Below are 19,212 nucleotides of genomic sequence, written 5' to 3'. Positions count from 1 at the left end.
GGCTGGGCACGGTGGCTCACACGTGTAATCCCAGCACTTTAGGAGGCCAAGGCGGGTGGATCACCTGAGGTCAGGAGTTCGAGACCAGCCTGGCCAACATGGTGAAATCCCGTCTCTACTAAAAATACAAAAATCAGCCAGGTGTGGTGCCACACGCCTGTAATCCCAGCTACCCGGGAGGCTGAGGCAGGAGAATCGCTTGAACTCAGGAGGCAGAGGTTGCAGTGAGCTGAGATCACGCCACTGCACTCCAGCCTGGGTGACAGAGCGAGACACCATCTCAAAAAAACAAACAAACAAACAAACAAACAAAAAACAGGGGCAGACACTGTCAACACCAAAAGTCATCCTCTTGTCTTAATTCTTCTTGCTAACAGAACCCCAGTTCTTTCAAGGGTCCCTATCTCAGAAGTTGGGCTCAGTCCCTAGAGGGGGTGGGCATGCAAACCAGGTCTAGTTAATGAGCTATTTGAGGGAGGGGGCCCTCTGGGGGTAGAAGGTTAATAAAAAGTTTGGTTATTTTATTTTTATGCTTTTATTTTTTTAGAGACAGGACCTTGCTCTGTTGCCCAGGCTAGAGTACAGTGCCACAATCATAGCTCACTGCAGCCTCGAACTCCTGGGCTAAAGGAAGGTGGGGACTAGAAGATGGATAAGCACTCCACACTTGTTAGCTATCTATTATTGCTGTTAGCACTGTCATTATCAGTATTTTTTTTTTTTTTTTTTGACGGAGTCTCGCTCTGTCACCCAGGCTGGAGTACAGTGGTGCACTCTCGGCTCACTGCAACCTCCACCTCCCAGGTTCAAGCAATTCTCCTGCCTCAGCCTCCCAAGTAGCTGGGAGTACAGGCGCCTGCCACCACGCCCGGCTAATTTTTGTATTTTTAGTAGAGACAGGGTTTCACCATATTGGCCAGGCTGGTCTCAAACTCCTGACCTTGTGATCCGCCCGCCTCGGCCTCCCAAAGTGCTGGGATTACAGGCATGAGCCACCACGCCCAGCCCTTTTTGCTTTTTTTTTTTTTGAAACAGGGTCTTGCTCTGTCACCCAGGCTGGAGTGCAGTGGTGCAATCTTGGCTCACTGCAACCTCCACCTCCCAGGTTCAAGCAATTCTCCTGCCTCAGCCTCTTGAGTAGCTGGGAGTACAGGCATGTGCCACCACGCCCAGCTAATTTTTGCATTTTTAGTAGAGATGGGGTTTCTCCATGTTGGCCAGGCTGGTCTCGAACTCCTGACCTCAGGTGATCTTCCCGCCTCGGCCTCCCAAAGTGCTGGAATTACAGGTGTAAGCCACCACGCACGGCCCTTTATCAGTATTATTATTATTAACTTTTACTAAGGAAAGAGGGAGGCCCTTGGCCAGGCCGTAGGATTGCTGGCCTTCCAGGGAGTGTGTTACCCAGGGAAGTAGCATAAAATTACAGAATTGGGAAGCTAAGAGGTAGCTCTAGACATCACACCTCTAACCTTTTTGATATTCTGTTGCTCCATCTACAAATGGCATTTAGAATTTTTGTTCTTAAAGAGTCACAAATCACGTGCAGGAAGCTTGAAACCAGTCCTGTTACCTTCCTATGCTCTGATGCCACCTGGGAATTTGAGCTGGTGTTTCGGGTAAGAGAACAGCTTATAACCAGGCTTTTCAGGACAATGAAGACTGCCTTTCAGTGGGAAGATGAACAATCTGCCTAAGTCATAAGAATGATACAATGGACTTTGGGGACTTGGGGGAAAGAGTGGAAGGGGGTCGAGGGACAAAAGGCTACAAATATGGGGCAGCGTATAGTGTTCAGATGATGGGTGCACCAATATCTCACAAATCACCACTAAAGAACTTACTCATGTAACCAAATACCACTTGTACCCCAATAACTTATGGGAAAAAAATCTACCCAAGGAATAAAACTAAATCGAGACTTTAAAAGCGAGACATTAAGGAAGTTGACTCTTAGCTGACCTGGACACAGGCCTATCATGGTAAGTGCTGCAGGTGAACAAACAGCAGCAATTTGACCCTTCTTCCTTATACATCAAATTCCTTTTTTTAAAAAATTATTTTTGAGACAGAGTCTCGCTCTGTTGCCCAGGCTGGAGTGCAGTGGCACGATCTCGGCTCACTGCAACCTCTGCCTCCCAGGTTCAAGCCATTCTCCTGCCTCAGCCTCCCGAGCAGCTGGGATTATAGGCACCCACCAGCACGTCCGGCTAATTTTTGTATTTTTAGTAGAGATGGGGTTTTGCCATGTTGGCCAGGCTGGTCTTGAACTCCTGACTTCAGGTGATCCACCCACTTTGGCCTCCCAAAGTGCTGGGATTAGAGACATGAGCCACCGCGCCTGGCCCAATTTCATTTTTTTTTTTTTTAGACAGAGACAGTGTCTTGCTCTGTCACCCAGGCTGCAATCAGTGGCGTGATCATAGCTCACTGCAGCCTCAAACTCCTGGGCTCAAGAGATCCTCCTGCCTCAGCCTCCTGAGTAGCTGGGACTACAGGTACATGCCACCACGTCCGACTATTATTTTTATTTTTTGTAAAGATGGGGTCTCATTATGTTGCCCAGGCTGGCCTCAAATTCCTGGGCTCAAGCCATCCTCCCACCTCAGCCTCCCAAAGTGCTGGGATTACAGATGTGAGCCACCACACCCAGCCCAAATTCCAATTTTCTAAAGAATCTGGGGCTCTCTGTGTTTTAAGACTATTAGGCTCTCCCCAGTTTCAGGGGATGAATCTTGAGCAGTCTGATGGAGGGCTGGCAAGCCATTGCCTAAACCCGGCCCACCACCTGCTTTTGTACGGCTCAGGAGCTGGAAATGGCTTTTACATTTTTAAGTAGTTAGAAAAGATCAAAAGTGTAATAATATCTCCTAACACATAAAAATTAGATGAAATTCAAATCTCAGTCTCCATAAATAAACCCATTCACTTATTTATTATCATCTATAGCTGCTTTCACACTGCAACAGCAGAACAGAGTGGTTGCTACAGAAACTGTGTGGCCACAAGCCTGAAATATTTATTCTCTGGCTCTTCAGAGGAAAAGATCTTAGGAAGCCAGAGGTTCTCAAACTCAGTGTCCATCAGAAACCCCCGGAGGGCACGTTTAAACATAGACTATGGGCCGGGCGCAGTGGCTCACGCCTGTAATTCTAACACTTTGGGAGGCCGAGAGTTTGAGACCAGAGCATTGTTTAAGCCAAGAGTTTGAGACCAGACTGGACAACATAGCAAGACCCTGTCTCTACAAAAAATAAAAAAAATAGCTGGGTGTGGGGGTGCACACCTGTAGTCCTGGCTACATGGGAGGCTGAGGCAGGAGGATCGCTCAAGCCCAGGAGTTGGAGGCTGCAATGCGCTATGATAGTGTCACTGTACTCCTGCCTGGGCAACAGAGACCCCGATTCTAGTAAATAAATAAATAAAAACATAGATCCCACCCCAGAGTTTCTGATTTAGTAGGTCTGAACTGGGGTCTGAGAATTTGCAGTTCTTAAAATTGCCTAGACATGGCAGATGCTGCTGGCCTGGGGATCTCACTTTAAGAAGCACTGGTCTAAGGCAACCTTGGGAATTCCATTCCCTTGCCAGCAACTGGCTTAGAAAAGGGCACGTGATACATTTCTGACCAATGAGATGAAGGAGAAGTCAGCTGGCAGCTTCTGAGAAAATGAGAAAATGATCATAAAAAGGGACAGATGGGCTGGGCGTGGTGGCTCACATCTGTAACCCTAGTGCTTTGGGAGGTTGAGGCAAGAGGATCACTTGAGGCCCAGAGTTCGAGACCAGCCTGGGCAACAGAGGGAGACCTCATCTCTAGAAAAAACTCTAAAGTTAGCTGGGTATGGTAGCATGCACCTATAGTCCCAGCTACTCAGGAAACTGAAGGAGGATCACTTGAGCCTAGAAGTTCAAGGCTGCAGCGAGCTATGATTGCACCACTACACTCCAGTCTGGGTGACAGAGCGAGACCCTGTCTCAAAAACAAGCGGGGAACAAGTGGAAGAAGGCTCTCTTCTCTCTTGTCCATATTATCTTGAGACCATGATGGGGTGTGGCTGAGGGCAAGAGCCAGCTGCTAAGAATGGAATAGTGGAAAAGTGGAAGGAAACAAGGCCCACCATTCCACAATGGAGCCACTGAATCAATTAACCACATGGCCCCCTGCAGAGAAACAATAACTTCCATTAGCATCTACACCACTTCCAGTTGGGTTCTCAGTGATTTGAAGCCAAACACAACCTACCTGGCAACCCTACAACTTCACCCCTCACCACTGTTTGGACACTACCAAACTTAGGCCATGATGATTAAGGCCAGGCATGAGCTCCACCCTCCCTGCCACCCTATGAGGAATAAAGCAGATATGGGGAAGGTGAAAGGGCATGATTTAGGGATCCATAAAGCCCCAGATTGGAGCCTTAGTTCTACAACTCAATAATGGTGGGCTAGAGCTCTATGCACCCCATACTCTAGGATGGGGACTCATACCTGCATGGTTGACTAGTGCAGTCATGTCTGTGCATCTGAGCAGTTATTTTCTTCTCTGGACCATTATTAACCATTAGAGCTAGCATTTGTCCCCAGGTCCCGGGCACTGTGCAAGTCTTCACCTACATTATCCTACTACCTCATAAGATAGTTTGGATGTGTGTCCCCTCCAAACCTCATGTTGAAATGTGATCCCCAATGTTGGAGGCGGGGCTTGGCGAGAGGTATTTGGGTGGTGGGAGCAGATCCCTCATGAATAGCTTGGTGCCCTCCCTGAGTAATGAGTGAGTTCTCACTCTTTTAGTTCACGGCGAGGTCTGATTGTTAAAAAAGTGTTTGGCACCCTTCCTGTCTCTCTCTCACCCCTCTTCTCACCATGTGACACACCTGCTCCCCTTTCACCCTCCACAGTGAAGAAAAGCTTCCTGAGGTCTCACCAGAAGCAGATGCTGGCATCATGCTTCTTGTACAGTCTGCAGAACCGTGAGCTAAACAAACCTCTTTTCTTATAAATTACCCACCCTCAAGTATTCCTTTATGGCAACGCAAAACAGGCTAAGACACCTCAATGGACTAATACATAACAGCCCCATAAGGTGAGTGCCACCATCTCCCCCACCTTACAGATCAGGAAACAGGGGCTCTGAAAAACTGTGGCTCACTCAAGGTCATACCGCTTGTTAAGTGCAGAGATAGGATTCCAACTCAGAGGCATCTGGCTCAAGAACCCACGTGTCTGTGTTTCAGGTTGCAATGCTGAGGTTAAACAAGAGGATGTGTGCTAGGAGCCCCAGCACACCACAGGGGCTGGGAAACGTTATTGCATCGAGTTTGAGTCCAACACACGGTCTCATTCCTCCACCCACCACTCAGCCTAGAAAAAGGGTCGGAAGGTTGACTCCACTTTCAGAAGCTTGCCAGCTCCAGCCAGTCAGCCAGAGTGAAGCTGACAAGAGCAATGAGGGAAATACGGAAAGATAAATCCAGATGTGGACAATGAGACCGTGTCCCCTGAGAACTGTGGTGGCAGAGGGACTCAAAGGTCCAGGCCTGCTCGGCGTGGCTGCGGCTTGGGTTCCTGGGCCACAGGGCTGCCTTACCTGCCAGTTTCCATGCCTGGCTGACTCCCCTCACTGCCCCTCTGGCTTCCACACCAGCCCACTGATGCCACCCCAGAGAACTCGGCTGTTTGCCTTGCTCCTCTAGAGGGCAGGTGGATGCGGTGAAACGGGCAGCGATTCCAGGGCCATCACAACTCCTGGCTGAAACCAAACATGACAGATTTACCATTGGGCAGGCTGCTCCATTTATTATTTAACGCTCACAATAAATATTTGCATGACCCAGTGCTGGAGGGAACGCTCTGTGATAACTCACTGCATTTTCCTGCCAAACACCAGCACAGTCGGATTCCGAAGCTGCAGCAGAGAATATTTTATGCTATTCTAAAAATCCAGGTGATGGCCCCTTGTTAGAAAACCTTTTCTCATCCATTTCCATAGAGGAAAAAAGGAGCAGGGAGACCTTAGCTCTGAGAAGCAACTAGAGGAGGAGGAAGAGGAGGAGGAAGATGCTGACAGGTGACATTTACTTAGCACCTACTGAGTGCCAGGCCCTAAGCTAAGGACTTCACACTCATTCATTCAACACCTCTCTCTAGAGGGTAGGGTTGCCAGACTTAACAAGTAAAAATATACGACACCCAATTCCATTTTAAATCCAGTGAAATAAGGAATGATTTTTTAAATACAAGTTATGTATCTGATGTAATACTGGAAAATTATTCAATGTTTATCTAAGCTTCAAATTTGGGTGCAGTGGCACGCACTTATATTCCCAGCTACTTGGAAGGCTGAGGCAGGGAAATCACTTGAACCCGGGAGGCAGAAGTTGCAGTGAGCCAAGATCATGCCACTGCACTCCAGCCTGGGCGACAGAGTGAGACTCTGTCTCAAAAAAAAAAAAAAAAAAAATAGAACAAACTGGGCTACAAAGTTTTGCCAGGCATGGTGGCTCACGCCTGTCACCCCAGGACTTTGGGAGGCCAAGGTGGGCAGATCACCTGAGATCAGGAGTTCGAGACCAACCTGGCCAACAGGGCAAAAACCCATCTCTACTAAAAATACAAACATTAGCCAGGCCTGGTGGTGCACGTCTGTAATTCCAGCTACTCGGGAGGCTGAGGCATCAGAATCACTTGAACCTGGGAGGCAGAGGTTGCAGTGAGCCAAGATCATGCCACTGCACTCCAGCCTGGGGGATAGAGTGAGACTCTGTCTCAAAAAAAAAAAAAAAAAAAAAATGTAACTGGGCATCCTGTTTGTATCTGGTAACACTCCTTAAGGTTGGACTAACTATGCGAAGACACTGAATTTAAAAGGCTTTTCTTTTCATTTATTTTTTAAGAGACGTATCTGTGTAACTCAGGCTGCAGTGCAATGGCTATTCACAGGGATGATCAGGGCTCACTGCAGCCTCAAACTCCCAGGCTTAAGAGATGGTCCCACCTCAGCCTCCCAAGCAGCCGGGACTACAAGTACATGACACTGCGTCTGGTGTTCAGTGGTGCAATCACGGCTCACTGCAGCCTCGAACTCCTGGGCTCAAGCAATCCTCTTGCCTCAGCCACCAGAGTAGCTAGAACTATGGGTATACAGCACCACGCCTCGCTATTTTTTTTTTTTTTTTTTTTTTTTTTGTAGAGATGGGGTCTCAATGTGTTGCCCAGGCTGATCTCAAACTCCCGGTCTCAAGTGATCCTCCTACCTCAGTCTCCCAAAGCACTGGAATTACAGGCATGAGCCACCACGTCCAGCCTCTTTTTTTCTTTAAGGAGGCTTATTTTTTAGTGTGGGTTAGGGAAGAGCCATGTGTGAAGTTGACTCTGGAGCAGAGATGTCAAAGATGAGAAAGAGCTACCCATAACAAAAAAATGGGGAACAGGATTCCTGGCAAAGACCCCACAAAGACCCTGGGGCTGGAAACCATGCGGGGCATTGGAGGAGTCAAGGGAGGTGACACTTTTGGAGCTGAGTAATGGAGAGGAGAGTGACAGGAGCAGACTGCACAGGGCCTTGGTCACAATGAAGGATTTGGATGCTATTCTAAGTTAAAGGGAAGGCATGGGAAAGCTTTTCAGCTGGAAGTGGCCAAACTGGGGACCGACTCTGGCTGTACGGATTTCTGAGCCTGGAGATGGCACAAAGGACCTGACATTGGCAGGAAAAGAAAAGAGGAGGAACAAGAACACGAGAAATTGCCTTAAAAGGGAGCTGGTCAGGTCTCACCAGAAAAATTCACGCAATAACAAACCAGCCGCCCACAACAGACATCTCCACATTTTCCCAGAGCTGTCCCCCAGCCAGGCGGCCAGAGTGAGGGGATGCCGACGGTGACAATGCTATCAATTTCCATTTTGCTTTTGCCAAATACGGAAAAGGACACTTCAAAGACTTTTAAAAATAACTTCCAAACAACTCAAGGGTGAAAAAAAAGAAAGAGGTAAAAAATTACAGTCTGCCTGCTTGAGAATAGCGATAATGAAAATAAGTGATAGAAATAAGAACAGCTGCTTTTGCACACGTTATGTCATCTGCTCCTTAGCACTCTATGAAGCAGGCAGAACAGGTCATGGTATCCCCATTTCATAGATAAGGAAACTGAGACCCAGAAACATAGGATACAACAGAGAGGAAATGATCAGGTGGGTGAGAAGCTATGTTTGTCTGGCCCCAAAGCCTGGGTTCCCCAAAGCCCTCTGCAGGCTGATATGAGCCTAACCCCAGCCCGGCTCCTGGCTCTCAGCCATCTCATCCTCCCAGCCCAGCTATGGGGAGCAAGATACCTCCTACCATGTCCCTTGCAGCCTTCCTCCCTCGCCTGCAGGGGCTTCCTGCCTGGAAAGCCTGTTCCTTTGCCCTTCTTCTCCAGAGGATTCACGTACCTCAGCACATGTTCGACGACAAAGTCACAGCACTGCAGGGACACCTCCCCTGGAGAGGAACACGATGGTAGAGTGGAAGGGGCACAGCTTTGCCATTAGAATGCCTGAGTTCAAATCCCAGCTCAATCACCAACTGGTTGGGTATCCTTAAGCTCTTCCAAGGAGTGGGGGATAATCCAATCCATCCCCACAGGATCCTGGTGGGGATTAAATGAGATGCTGTATGTAAAACATCAACACAGGGCCAGGTGCCATGGCTCACACCTGTAACACCAGCACATTGGGAGGTGGAGGCAGGAGAATCGCTTGAAGCCAGGAGTTTGAGACTAACCTGGGCAACATAGCCAGACCCCTATCTATACAATAAAATGTCTTTTTAATTAGCTGGGTGTGATAGCCCATGCCTGTAATCCCAGCTACTTGGGAAGCTGAGACAGGAAGATTGCTTAAGCCCAGGAGTTCAAAGCTGTAGTGAGCTATGATCATGCCACTGAACTCCAGCCATGGTGACAGAACTAGACCCCAACTCTAAAAAAATAAAAAACATTAAAAAAAAATCAGCACAGTGCCTGGCATACAGTCAGCACCTAATAAGTAGTAGCTGTTTTTTGTTTTTTGTTTTTTTTTCCATCTCTGAAAAAAAAATCAGCCATTTTTTAAAATTAGCTGAGTGTAATGGTATATCTCTGTAATCCCAGCTACTTGGGAAGCTGAAGCAGGGGGACTGCTTGACCCCAGGAGTTTGAAGCTTCAGCGAGCTATGATTGTGCCACTGAACTCCAGCCATGGTGACAGAACAAGACCCAATCCCTGAAAATAAATAAATCAATTGGCACAGTGCCTGGCATATAGTCAGCACCTAATAAGTAGTAGCTGTTAGAATAATTACAAAAGGCCAGGCGTGGTGGCTCACACCTGTAATCCCAACACTTTCAGAGGCCAAGGAGGGTGGATGGCCTGAGGTCAGGAGTTTAAGACCAGCATGGCCAACACAGTGAAACCCCATCTCTGCTAAAAATACACACACACGCAAAACAAATTACTGGGCATGGTGGCACATGCCTGTAGTTAGTCTCAGCTTCTTGAGAGGCTGAGGCAAGAAAATCACTTGAACCCAGGATGCAGAGATTGCAGTGAGCCAAGATAGTACCACTGCACTCCAGCCTGGGTGATAGAGCAAGACTTTGTCTCAAAACAAACAAACAAACAAAAACAAAAAAAACACTCAAATCATGGGATTGAGTGTTCAATCATTCAATCAATTTTTATTGAATGCCTACTACATGCTAGGTACTTAGGGATATAACAGGAAATAAGACATACGTGATTCTACCTTAATGAAACTTAGAAGAAGGAATATACTTATGGTATAGTGAAAGAAACATATTTATTAGAAATCAAACATAAAAAGCATAAAAAGTGTTGAAGAGTGCTCTAAAAGAACAGAGGTTTCTGTGAATCATCTACTTTATTTATTTATTTATTTATTTATTTATTTATTTATTTATTTTGAGACAGAGTTTTGCTCTGTCACCCAGGCTGGAGTGCAGTGGCGTGATCTCAGCTCACTGCAACCTCCGCCTCCCAGGTTCAAGCGATTCTCCTGCCTCAGCCTCCCAAGTAGCTGGGATTACAGGCACCCGCCAACATGCCTGGCTTATTTTTGTATTTTTAGTAGACACGGGGTTTTACTATGTTGGCCAGGCTGGACTTGAACTCCTGATGTCAGGTGATCTGCCTGCCTCAGCCTCCCAAAGTGCTGGGATTACAGGCGTGAGCCACTGCACCCAGCCCGGAATCATCTACTTTAGACTGAGGCATCTGAGACGCGCTCAAAGGACATTTCAGTGGAGAACCATGGGTGTGAAGGAGGGAGTCACACGGAGACTGGGAAGGGACAGACCTTTGTAGGACAGACGGCAACACGTGCAAAGCTTGTGCTGGGAGGTGAAGGGAGAACAACTCGCTGGAGGAAGCAAGGAAGAGGAGATTTAGTTAGAGCAGACAGCCAGGATCAGAGCATGCAGGGTCTGATCATTTATTTCCAAGTTATTCTGAAATCAAAGAGAAGCAGGCTTTTAAGCTAAGAATGCAGCACATCGGCTAGCATAGAATAAGAGTTCAAAAAAAGTGTAAGCTCCCTTCCCTATCCTGAAACAACCAAAGTAAATAAAAATGGCCCCTCTGTTTTGAATTATTTATTTATTTTTGCTTTCAAACTGTTTTCTTAAAAAAAAAAAAAACTACAGAGTAGTGAGTGGGGGCAGGGGGGTAAGGGGTGGAATACTCAAAACGTGTTCAAAATCAAACGAGCCAGAAACTCCTCGCTGGAAATTTTCTCTCTAGATCTCTGCAGGAATCAGTGGAACCATGAGAGACAGAGTCGAAAGCAGCAGAGCCTGGAATTATTTCTCTAAGCAAGACCCAGACGCCACGCAGGTAGTGAAATTGCTCCTGCCCCACCTCCATCCTTGCTGCCTATCTGAGAACAGAGTCTGCCAACCCCTCCTGATGAGAGACTGACCCCTCATAGCCACTGCAGGCTGGAAGCCATAAGCTTAAACCACTTCCATACCATGAAAGCAAAATGTATGGTTGGCAAAAAGCAAAAAAAAAAAAAAAAAACAAAAAACTGGTTACTGGCGAGTGCAGAATCACAGTCTGGGTCGATGACAAATTATCCAGCATGAATCTTGGTGTGACTTAGGCCCTTCTTAGTCCTCTAAAATTCATCACATTTTGTTTATTCGTTCACTACCCACTTACAGTAGATGCCAAGAAATATATATAACAAGATTATAGATATAAATTTAAAATTAGGACTAAAGAAAGATAATCTAGAATAAGAGGTAAAAGCAGAACAGAGCAGGATGGAAGGTAGAATAAAGATATACAGGCCAGAAGGCCAGTTACTAAACTGGATTTGAGAACATGGCGCTGAGTTCCCTGGTGGCCAAGTCAAAAAGGGCAGTTGGAGATGTTCTCATGGTCCACAAAAAGAAACACACTTAACTTTGCAGAACAAGCACTGTCCTGCCGTGTGACCTCAGATAAGTGATTTAACCTACTTAGACTCAGCTGCCTCATTGCCAAAAAGTTAGTGAAAACTATTGAATGTTTAGGTAAAAAGTTGTAATAAAAAACAAGAATGGGAAAGGATTCCCTATTTAAAATGGTGTTGGGAAAACTGGCTAGCCATATGCAGAAAACTGAAACTGGGCCCCTTCCTTACACCTGATACAAAAATTAACTCAAGATTGATTAAAGTCTTAAATGTTAGACCTAAAACCATAAAAACCCAAGAAGAAAACCTAGGCAATACCATTCAGGACATAGGCATGGGCAAAGGCTTCATGACTGAAACACCAAAAGCAATGGCAACAAAAGCCAAAATTGACAAATGGGATCTAATTAAACTAAAGAGCTTCTGCACAGCAAAACAAACTATCATCAGAGTGAACAGGCAACTTACAGAATGGGAGAAAAGTTTTGCAATCTATCCATCGGGCTAATATCCAGAATCCACAAGGAACTTAAACATATTTACAAGAAAAAAACAACCCCATCCAAAAGTGGCCGGAGGATATGAACAGACACTTCTCAAAAGAAGACATTTATGTGGCCAACAAACATGTGAAGAAAAGCTCATCATCACTGGTCATTAGAGAAATGCAAATCATTGTCAGAGTGCTCAGAGAGGGCATGTTCCCTGGGTCTTGGTGGATTTAGAGGTCAAGGGACCATTTCTGGAAGCTCACTGTGTGCCAGGGCAGCTTATATCAGAGCTCCGCTCTTTTTCTTTCTTTTTTTTTTTTTAAGACAGAGTCTCACTGTTGCCCAGGCTGGAGTGCAGTGGCACCATTTCGGCTCACTGCAACCTCCACCTCCCGGGTCCAAGAGATTCTCCTGCCTCAGCCTCCTGAGTAGCTGGGACTACAGGCATGCACCACCACCACACCCGGCTAATTTTTGTATTTTTAGTAGAGACGGGGTTTCACCATGTTAGCAAGGCTGGTCTCGAACTCCTGACCTCAGGTGATCCACCTGCCTTGGCCTCTGAAAGTGCTGAGATTACAGGCATGAGCCACTGCGCTTGGCCAGAGATCTGCTCTGGAAGACCCCCCAGGCCGGAGGGCACTGCCACAAGCAGACAGTATGGCGAGGGTCCCTATGGCCACCTAGCAGGCGAGGTGGATTCTGGAGGGAGGTGGCCTGGGAGCAGGCTGAGGATGGGGTGAGGGCATTTGAGCAGCAGAGTGTCTGCGTGACCGGGCATAACTGGAGGGACAGTAAATGACTCTTGTGTGAGAGGATGAGGGAGGGGTGAGAGGGGCTGACTACCCCCAGGACTTGGGGTGCAGTGAGACTCCTTAGCTTTATCCAGACTCATGGGAGCCATGGAGGTTTGAGGCAGAGGCGTGGGCTGCTGGGAGAGTGAGGACTCACCATCCAGAGAGGAAGGTGAAGCTTTCAACTCTAAATGCCGTTTTATTTTCGTGTGTTTTTTTTTTTTTTTTTTTTGAGACAGAGTTTCACTCTTATTGCCCAGGCTGGAGTGTGATAGCACGAGCTCGGCTCACTGCAACCTCTGCCTCCCGGGTTCAAGCGATTCTCCTGCCTCACCCTCCCAAGTAGCTGGGATTACAGGCATGCGCCACCATGCGTGGCTAATTTTATATTTTTAGTAGAAACAGGGTTTCTCCGTGTTGGTCAGGCTGGTCTGGAACTCCTGACTTCAGGTGATCCGCCCGCCTTGGCCTCCCAAAGTGCTGGGATTACAGGCATGAGCCACTGTGCCCGGCCCCAAATGTGTTTTACATTTTCTTCCTATTTGATTCATCTTTGTCGTGCAACATAAATATGCTACTTTTCCACTGATAAAAAGACAAAATGAAATTTAAAATTGGCCTGGACTTCTCAAAAAAGTCAGTGTGATGAAAACATGTTCTAGATAAAACAGAAATGAGACTGCGCATGGTGGCTCATGCCTGGAATCCCAGTGCCTTGGGAGGCCAAGGAAGGAGAATCACTTGAGGCCAGGAGTTTGTGACCAGCCTGGGCAACATAGTGAGACCGCAGATCTACTAAAAATTTAAAAATTAGCTGGGCATGGTGGTGCGTGCCCGTATGTCTGGAGGCTGAGGCAGGAGGATCACTTGAGCCCAGGATTTGGAGGCTGCAGTGAGCTATGATTGTGCCACTGCACTCCAGTGTGGGTGACAGAGTGAGACCCTGTCTCTATTTAAAAAAAGAGAGACAAGATGATCAGGATGAGCGCAGTGGCTCACGCCTATAATCCCAGCACTTTGGGAGGCCAAAGCAGGTGGATCACATGAGGTCAGGAGTTTGAGACCGGCCCAGCCTAGATGGTGAAACCCCGTTTCTACTAGAAATACAAAAATCAGCTGGGTGTGGTGGGGCACGCCTGTGATCCCAGCTACTCGGGAGACTGAGGCTGGACAATTGCTTGAACCTGGGAGGCAGAAGTTGCTGTGAGCAAGATGACACCACTGTGCTCCAGCCTGGGCAACAGGAATGAGACACTGTCTCAAAAAAAAAAAAAAAAAAAAAAGGGATGATCAAACACAATGCATCAACCTCCCGGAGCCGTATAAACCCTAAACCTAAACCAGGAAGCAGGCAAGCCTGTGTGTGAGTTTCCACTCTATTGCTGGTACCACTCGGCTCTGGCAACCCGGAAGGCCACCTTCCCCTGTTGTTACTGTGTAAGGAGGAAGGAGCACTGGTTTGCAAGTCAGAAGCCTGGGTTGAAGCCTCTGCTTGAGTTCCTGCTGGCTGTGGGAATGTGGGGTTACCTTTCCCGGCTGGCCTCGTTTCCTACATGTCCAATGCAGGGGTTCCAGTCACATGCATTGGGCACCATTACATGTCCAAGCTGTGCCAGGATCTAGAAAAATGGCTGGGCTCAGGCCAAGGGGCCTTCCTGTCTGGCAGTGAAAATAAGAGGAGATACCAAGGGCCCTGAGCCTGAGTCTGGAGGAAAAGTCATGAGCACAGGGCAGTGCCAGGGCCTGGGAGCTGCCACAGAGGAGCCCACCTTGGTGACAGACACCTGTAGGCTCATATGATGCCGAGTGCCCAACACAGGGAACTGGACAAAGGTTTCATGCACGACTCTTTTCCCTCCTTGGCTACCTTGAGGACCTTGATTATAATAGTTAGCCTTTTTTTTTTTTCTTTTTTTGAGACTCTTGCTCTGTCGCCCAGGTTGGAATGCAGTGGCAAAATCTTGGCTCACTGCAATCTTCGCCTCTCAGGTTCAAGTGACTCTCCTTCCTCAGCCTCCCTAGTAGCTGGGATTACAGGCGTGCACCACTATGCTCGGCTAATTTTTGTATTTTTACTATAGATGGGGTTTCACCATGTTGGCCAGGCTGATCTTGAACTGCTGACCTCAGGTGATCTGCCCGCCTGGGCCTCCCAAAATCTTGGGATTACAGGTGTAAGCCACTGAGCCCAGCCGGATTATAATAGCCTTTTCATGCACCAGGGGCTTTATACTCATTATCTCATTTCATTCATATGAGTTGAAGTCAGCTTATCCCCCATTTCACAGATGAGGAAACCAAGGCCCAGAGAGGTTAGGAATTTGTCCAAGGTCACACAGCCAGGAAGTAGGATTCAAACCCAGACAGCCAGGCTGTAACACCTAGGCTCTTCTCAGGCTCATGCCCTTCCCAGGGGTCTGGGAAGCCCTGACCTGCAGCCTGTCACCTTTGTTTACCCCCCAGCCTCCAGGATATTACGTGTGCACCGGCGTGGGATCCTGGAACTGGCAGGAATTGTGGGTTGTGTTGGTCCCTGAACTCCCATCGCCTATGTGAAATATGGTTGCTTTTGTGGCTTGGGAGGCCATGGCCAGCCCCGCGATGCCATTGACTGGTGAGTGCATGCCTGGGACCAGGCCACAAAATCCCTCACACTCTGGGGTAGTCAAGGCTTATGAGGAAGTACCCAAAACTGAAGCTGGGGTTTGGTCCAGGGAGATCCCAGTGTGCAGTACTACTTTGCAGGCAGGCAGAGGCCTCTTGGATAACATGGCCAGTGAAGCCAGATCTTGGTACTAGCTGTGCCTTACCCTGGCCATGGGCTGAAAACGTTGCCTTAAAAAATTGGCCAGGAGCGCTGGCTCACTCCTGTAATCCCAGCACTTTGGGAGGCCGAGGCGGGCAGATCACTTGAGGTCAGGAGTTCAAGACCAGCCTGGCCAATATGGTGAAACCCCATCTCTACTAAAAATGCAAAAATTAGCTGTGTGTGGTGGCAGGCATCTGTAATCTCAGCTACTCGGGAGACTGAGGCAGGAGAATTGCTTGAACCCGGGAGGCAGAGTTTGCAGTGAGTTGAGATTGCACCGCTGTATTCCAACCTGGACAACAGTGCCAAACCCTGTCTCAAAAGAAAAAAAAAAATAATATAAAGTGACCAGGTGTGTTGACTCATGCCTGTAATCCCACCACTTTGGGTCGAGGCAGGAGGATCACTGGAGCCCAGGAGTTTGAAACGAGCCTAGGCAACAGAGTGAGACCCTGTCTCTATATTAAACACACACACACACGCACACACACACACACACACACATACAAAGGCAGCCAGACTATGCACTAGGAACTGCCCTGGGAATCCCTTTGTGTTCTCACAACAATCCCATTTCACATGAAGAAACCTAGGCACAGAAATATTCAGTAACGTGTCCAGGTGCGGTGGCTCACGCCTGTAATCCCAGTACTTTGGGAGGCTGAGGCAGGCAGATCACGAGGTCAGGAGTTCGAGACCATCCTGGCCAACATGGTGAAACCCCGTCTCTACTAAAAATACAAAAATTAGCTGTGTGTGGTGGCAGGTGCCTGTAATTCCAGCTACTCAGGAAGCTGAGGCAGGAGAATTGCTTGAACCCGGGAGGCAGAGGTTGCAATGAGCCGAGATCACACCACTGCACTCCAACCTGGGTGACAGAGCAAAACTCCGTCTGAAAAAAAAAAAAAAGAAATATTAAGTAACTTGTCTGAGGCCACATAGTTACCAAGACGTGGGAGCTGGGACTTGAACCCAGGCAGTCTGGCTGGATTCATGCCTGCAGCCTCTGCACTCCTGCTACTTACTGTGTGAGAAGCGTCTGTTCTGTGGAAGGTTGTGGGCTGAGATCTTTCCATGACTTCCACTCATTTACCCCCAAGGCTGTTCTTAAAGACGGGCATGACAGTTATGCCCATTTTACAGATGGGGCCCTGAGGCTCACAAGGGCACGCCACTCACCCATTTCCACAAAGCTATAGTTAGTTAGCAGAGGGCAGAATTCGGCCGCCTCTCCCCTAGCTTGTAGGCTGTGATTGACACAGAGGTTTTTTTGTTGTCGTTGCTGTTGTTTGTTCCTTTTTCTTTTTTTTGAGACAGGGTCTTGCTCTGTCATCCCGGCTGGAGCGCAGTGGTGCGATGTCAGCTCACTGCAAATTCTGCCTCCAAGATGCAAATGATTCTCGTGCCTCAGCCTCCCAAGTAGCTAGAATTACAGGTGTGCACTACCACGCCCAGCTGTTTTTTGTAGAGATGGGGTTAGTAGAGATTTGTTTAATAGAGACGGGGTTTCACCATGGTCTCTACTAAACCCTGTCTCTACTAAAAATACAAAAATTACCCAGGCGTGGTGGCACATGCCTGTAGTCCCAGGTACTCAAGAGGCTGAGGCAGGGGAATCACTTGAACCTGGGAGGTGGAGGTTGCAGTGACCCAAAATCATGCACTCTAGCCTGGGGTCTCGCTTTTGCCCAGGTTAGAGTGCAGTGGCACAATCATAGTGGCTCACTGCAGCCTCAAACTCCTGGGCTGAAGGGAATCCTCCCACCTCAGCCTCCCAAGTAGCTAGGACTATAGGCATGTGCCATCATGGCGAGTTAATTTTTTGTGTGTTTTTATTGTCTCGAGACAGAGTCTTGCTCTGTTGCTCAGGCTGGACTGCAATGGCGTGATCCTGGCTCACCGCAACCTCCACCTCCTGGGTTCAAGCAATTCTCCTACCTCAGCCTCCCGAGTAGCTGGGATTACAGGTGCGTGCCACCATGCCTGGCTAATCTTGTATTTTTAGTAGAGACAGGGTTTCGCCATGTTGGTCAGGCTGCTCTCGAACTCCTGACCTCGTGATCCACCTGCCTCGGCCTCTCAAAGTGTTGGGATTACAGGCATGAGCCACTGAGCCTGGCCTGGTGAGCTAATTTTTAAATTTGTTATAGAGACAAGAGTCTCTCTTATGTTGCCCAGGCTGGTCTCGACCCCCTGGCCTCAAGTGATCCTCCCACCTCAGCCTCCCAAAGTGCTGGGATTACAGATGGGTGTCACCGCACCTGGCCTCTGAGGAGGATTTCATTATAAACCTGCCCTGAAGGGAGGGAATCCAATTTTACGAGAGGGTGTAGCCTGGTGAGGCCTGGATGACCTCCGGAGGCAGGGGCTTGTGCCTGGGCTGAGGCCTAAGGGACAATGGGCAGACATGAAGTTGCCCCAGGCAGAGGGTACAGTGTGGGCAAAGTCAGGAAGTGGCAGGGCTTGGATCACTCCAGGAAGAGAGAGGAGTCATGTGTCACAGGAGCTCAAGACCCAGAGAGGGAGGCAGGCAGGCAGGCAGGGACCAAGCTTGGGCACAGCCAGGAAGGCAGAGGGCATGGTGGGGCCAATGGAATCATTACCCAAGACGGGGATTTTCAGGGAAACAGCTTAGATAAGGCCAGGCGTACAGTAGCTCCCACCTGTAATCCCAGCATTTGTGGAGGCTGAGGTAGGAGGACTGCTTGAGCCTGGGAGTTCGAGACCAGCCTAGGCAACATAGTGAGACCCCATATCCATAAAAAATTTAAAAAAGGAGTCTGTGTTCCTGTAGTAGCAGACTTGGGAGGTTGAGGTGGCAGTATCACTTGAGCCCGGGAGTTCAAGGCTAAAGTGAGCTGATTGAGCCATTGCACTCCAGCCTGAGCAACAGAGAGATACGCTGTCTCAAAGGAAATACAAATTAAAAAACCAGCCGGGCATGCTGGCGTGTGCCTGTAGTCTCAGCTACTTGGGACACTGAAGTGGGAGGATCGCTTGAGCCCAGGAGTTCAAGGCTGCCGTGAGCTATGATTGTGCCTCTGCAGTCCAGCCTGGGCGACAGAGAAAGACCCTGTCTCTTAAAAAAAAAAAAAAAAAAATCTTAGATAAGAGGATGCTGTGCCTCCCTGGGGGTCTTCAGTCACCCATAGTCCTGGCAAGAGAGGAGGGCCAGGAGAGAGCTTCACCCACCTGCTGTCCTGCCCATGTGACATCCGCAGGTGCTGCCATGGCCACGACTGTTGTTACACTCGAGCTGAGGAGGCCGGCTGCAGCCCCAAGACAGAGCGCTACTCCTGGCAGTGCGTCAATCAGAGCGTCCTGTGCGGTGAGTCCCCAGCAGCACCATGCCACCCACCCCGAGTATCCCCTGGGCACCCTGGCATAGCCAGATGACTTCCGTGCCCCTGTTGCAATAACCACTGCTTCCAAGTCTCTATAGACCACCCCTTGGGTATATCTAATGTAAGTGATATTTATTTTATTTATTTTTTGAGTCAGTCTCGCTCTGTCACCCAGGCTAGAGTGTGCTGATGTGATCTCGGCTCACTACAACCTCTGCCTCCTGGGTTCAAGCGATTCTCATGCCTCAGCCTCCCAAGTGGCTGGGACTACAGGCATGCACCATCACGCCCAGCTAATTTTTGTATTTTTTCAGTAGAGGTGGGGTTTCACCAAGT

The 19,212-nt window shown here is 48.4% G+C and overlaps 1 pseudogene, besides 1 other annotated feature; it reads left to right on the top strand.

Moving 5' to 3' along the window:
* PLA2G10EP (phospholipase A2 group XE, pseudogene) lies at positions 15,187 to 18,860 on the top strand (annotated as a pseudogene).
* Positions 18,161 to 18,661: an enhancer, noted in NCBI's record as "H3K27ac hESC enhancer chr16:14860458-14860958 (GRCh37/hg19 assembly coordinates)". NCBI's record gives its function as "activates a minimal SCP1, AML or CMV promoter by ChIP-STARR-seq in primed H9 embryonic stem cells {active_cell/tissue: H9 hESC(primed)}" and the evidence as "EXISTENCE:reporter gene assay evidence [ECO:0000049][PMID:30033119]".

The sequence above is a fragment of the Homo sapiens genome, chromosome 16 (assembly GCF_000001405.40).
Source record: "Homo sapiens chromosome 16, GRCh38.p14 Primary Assembly".
NCBI lineage: Eukaryota > Metazoa > Chordata > Mammalia > Primates > Hominidae > Homo > Homo sapiens.
The sequence above is the reverse complement of the archived record's forward strand: the minus strand, read 5'-3'. Positions and strand labels throughout refer to the sequence as shown.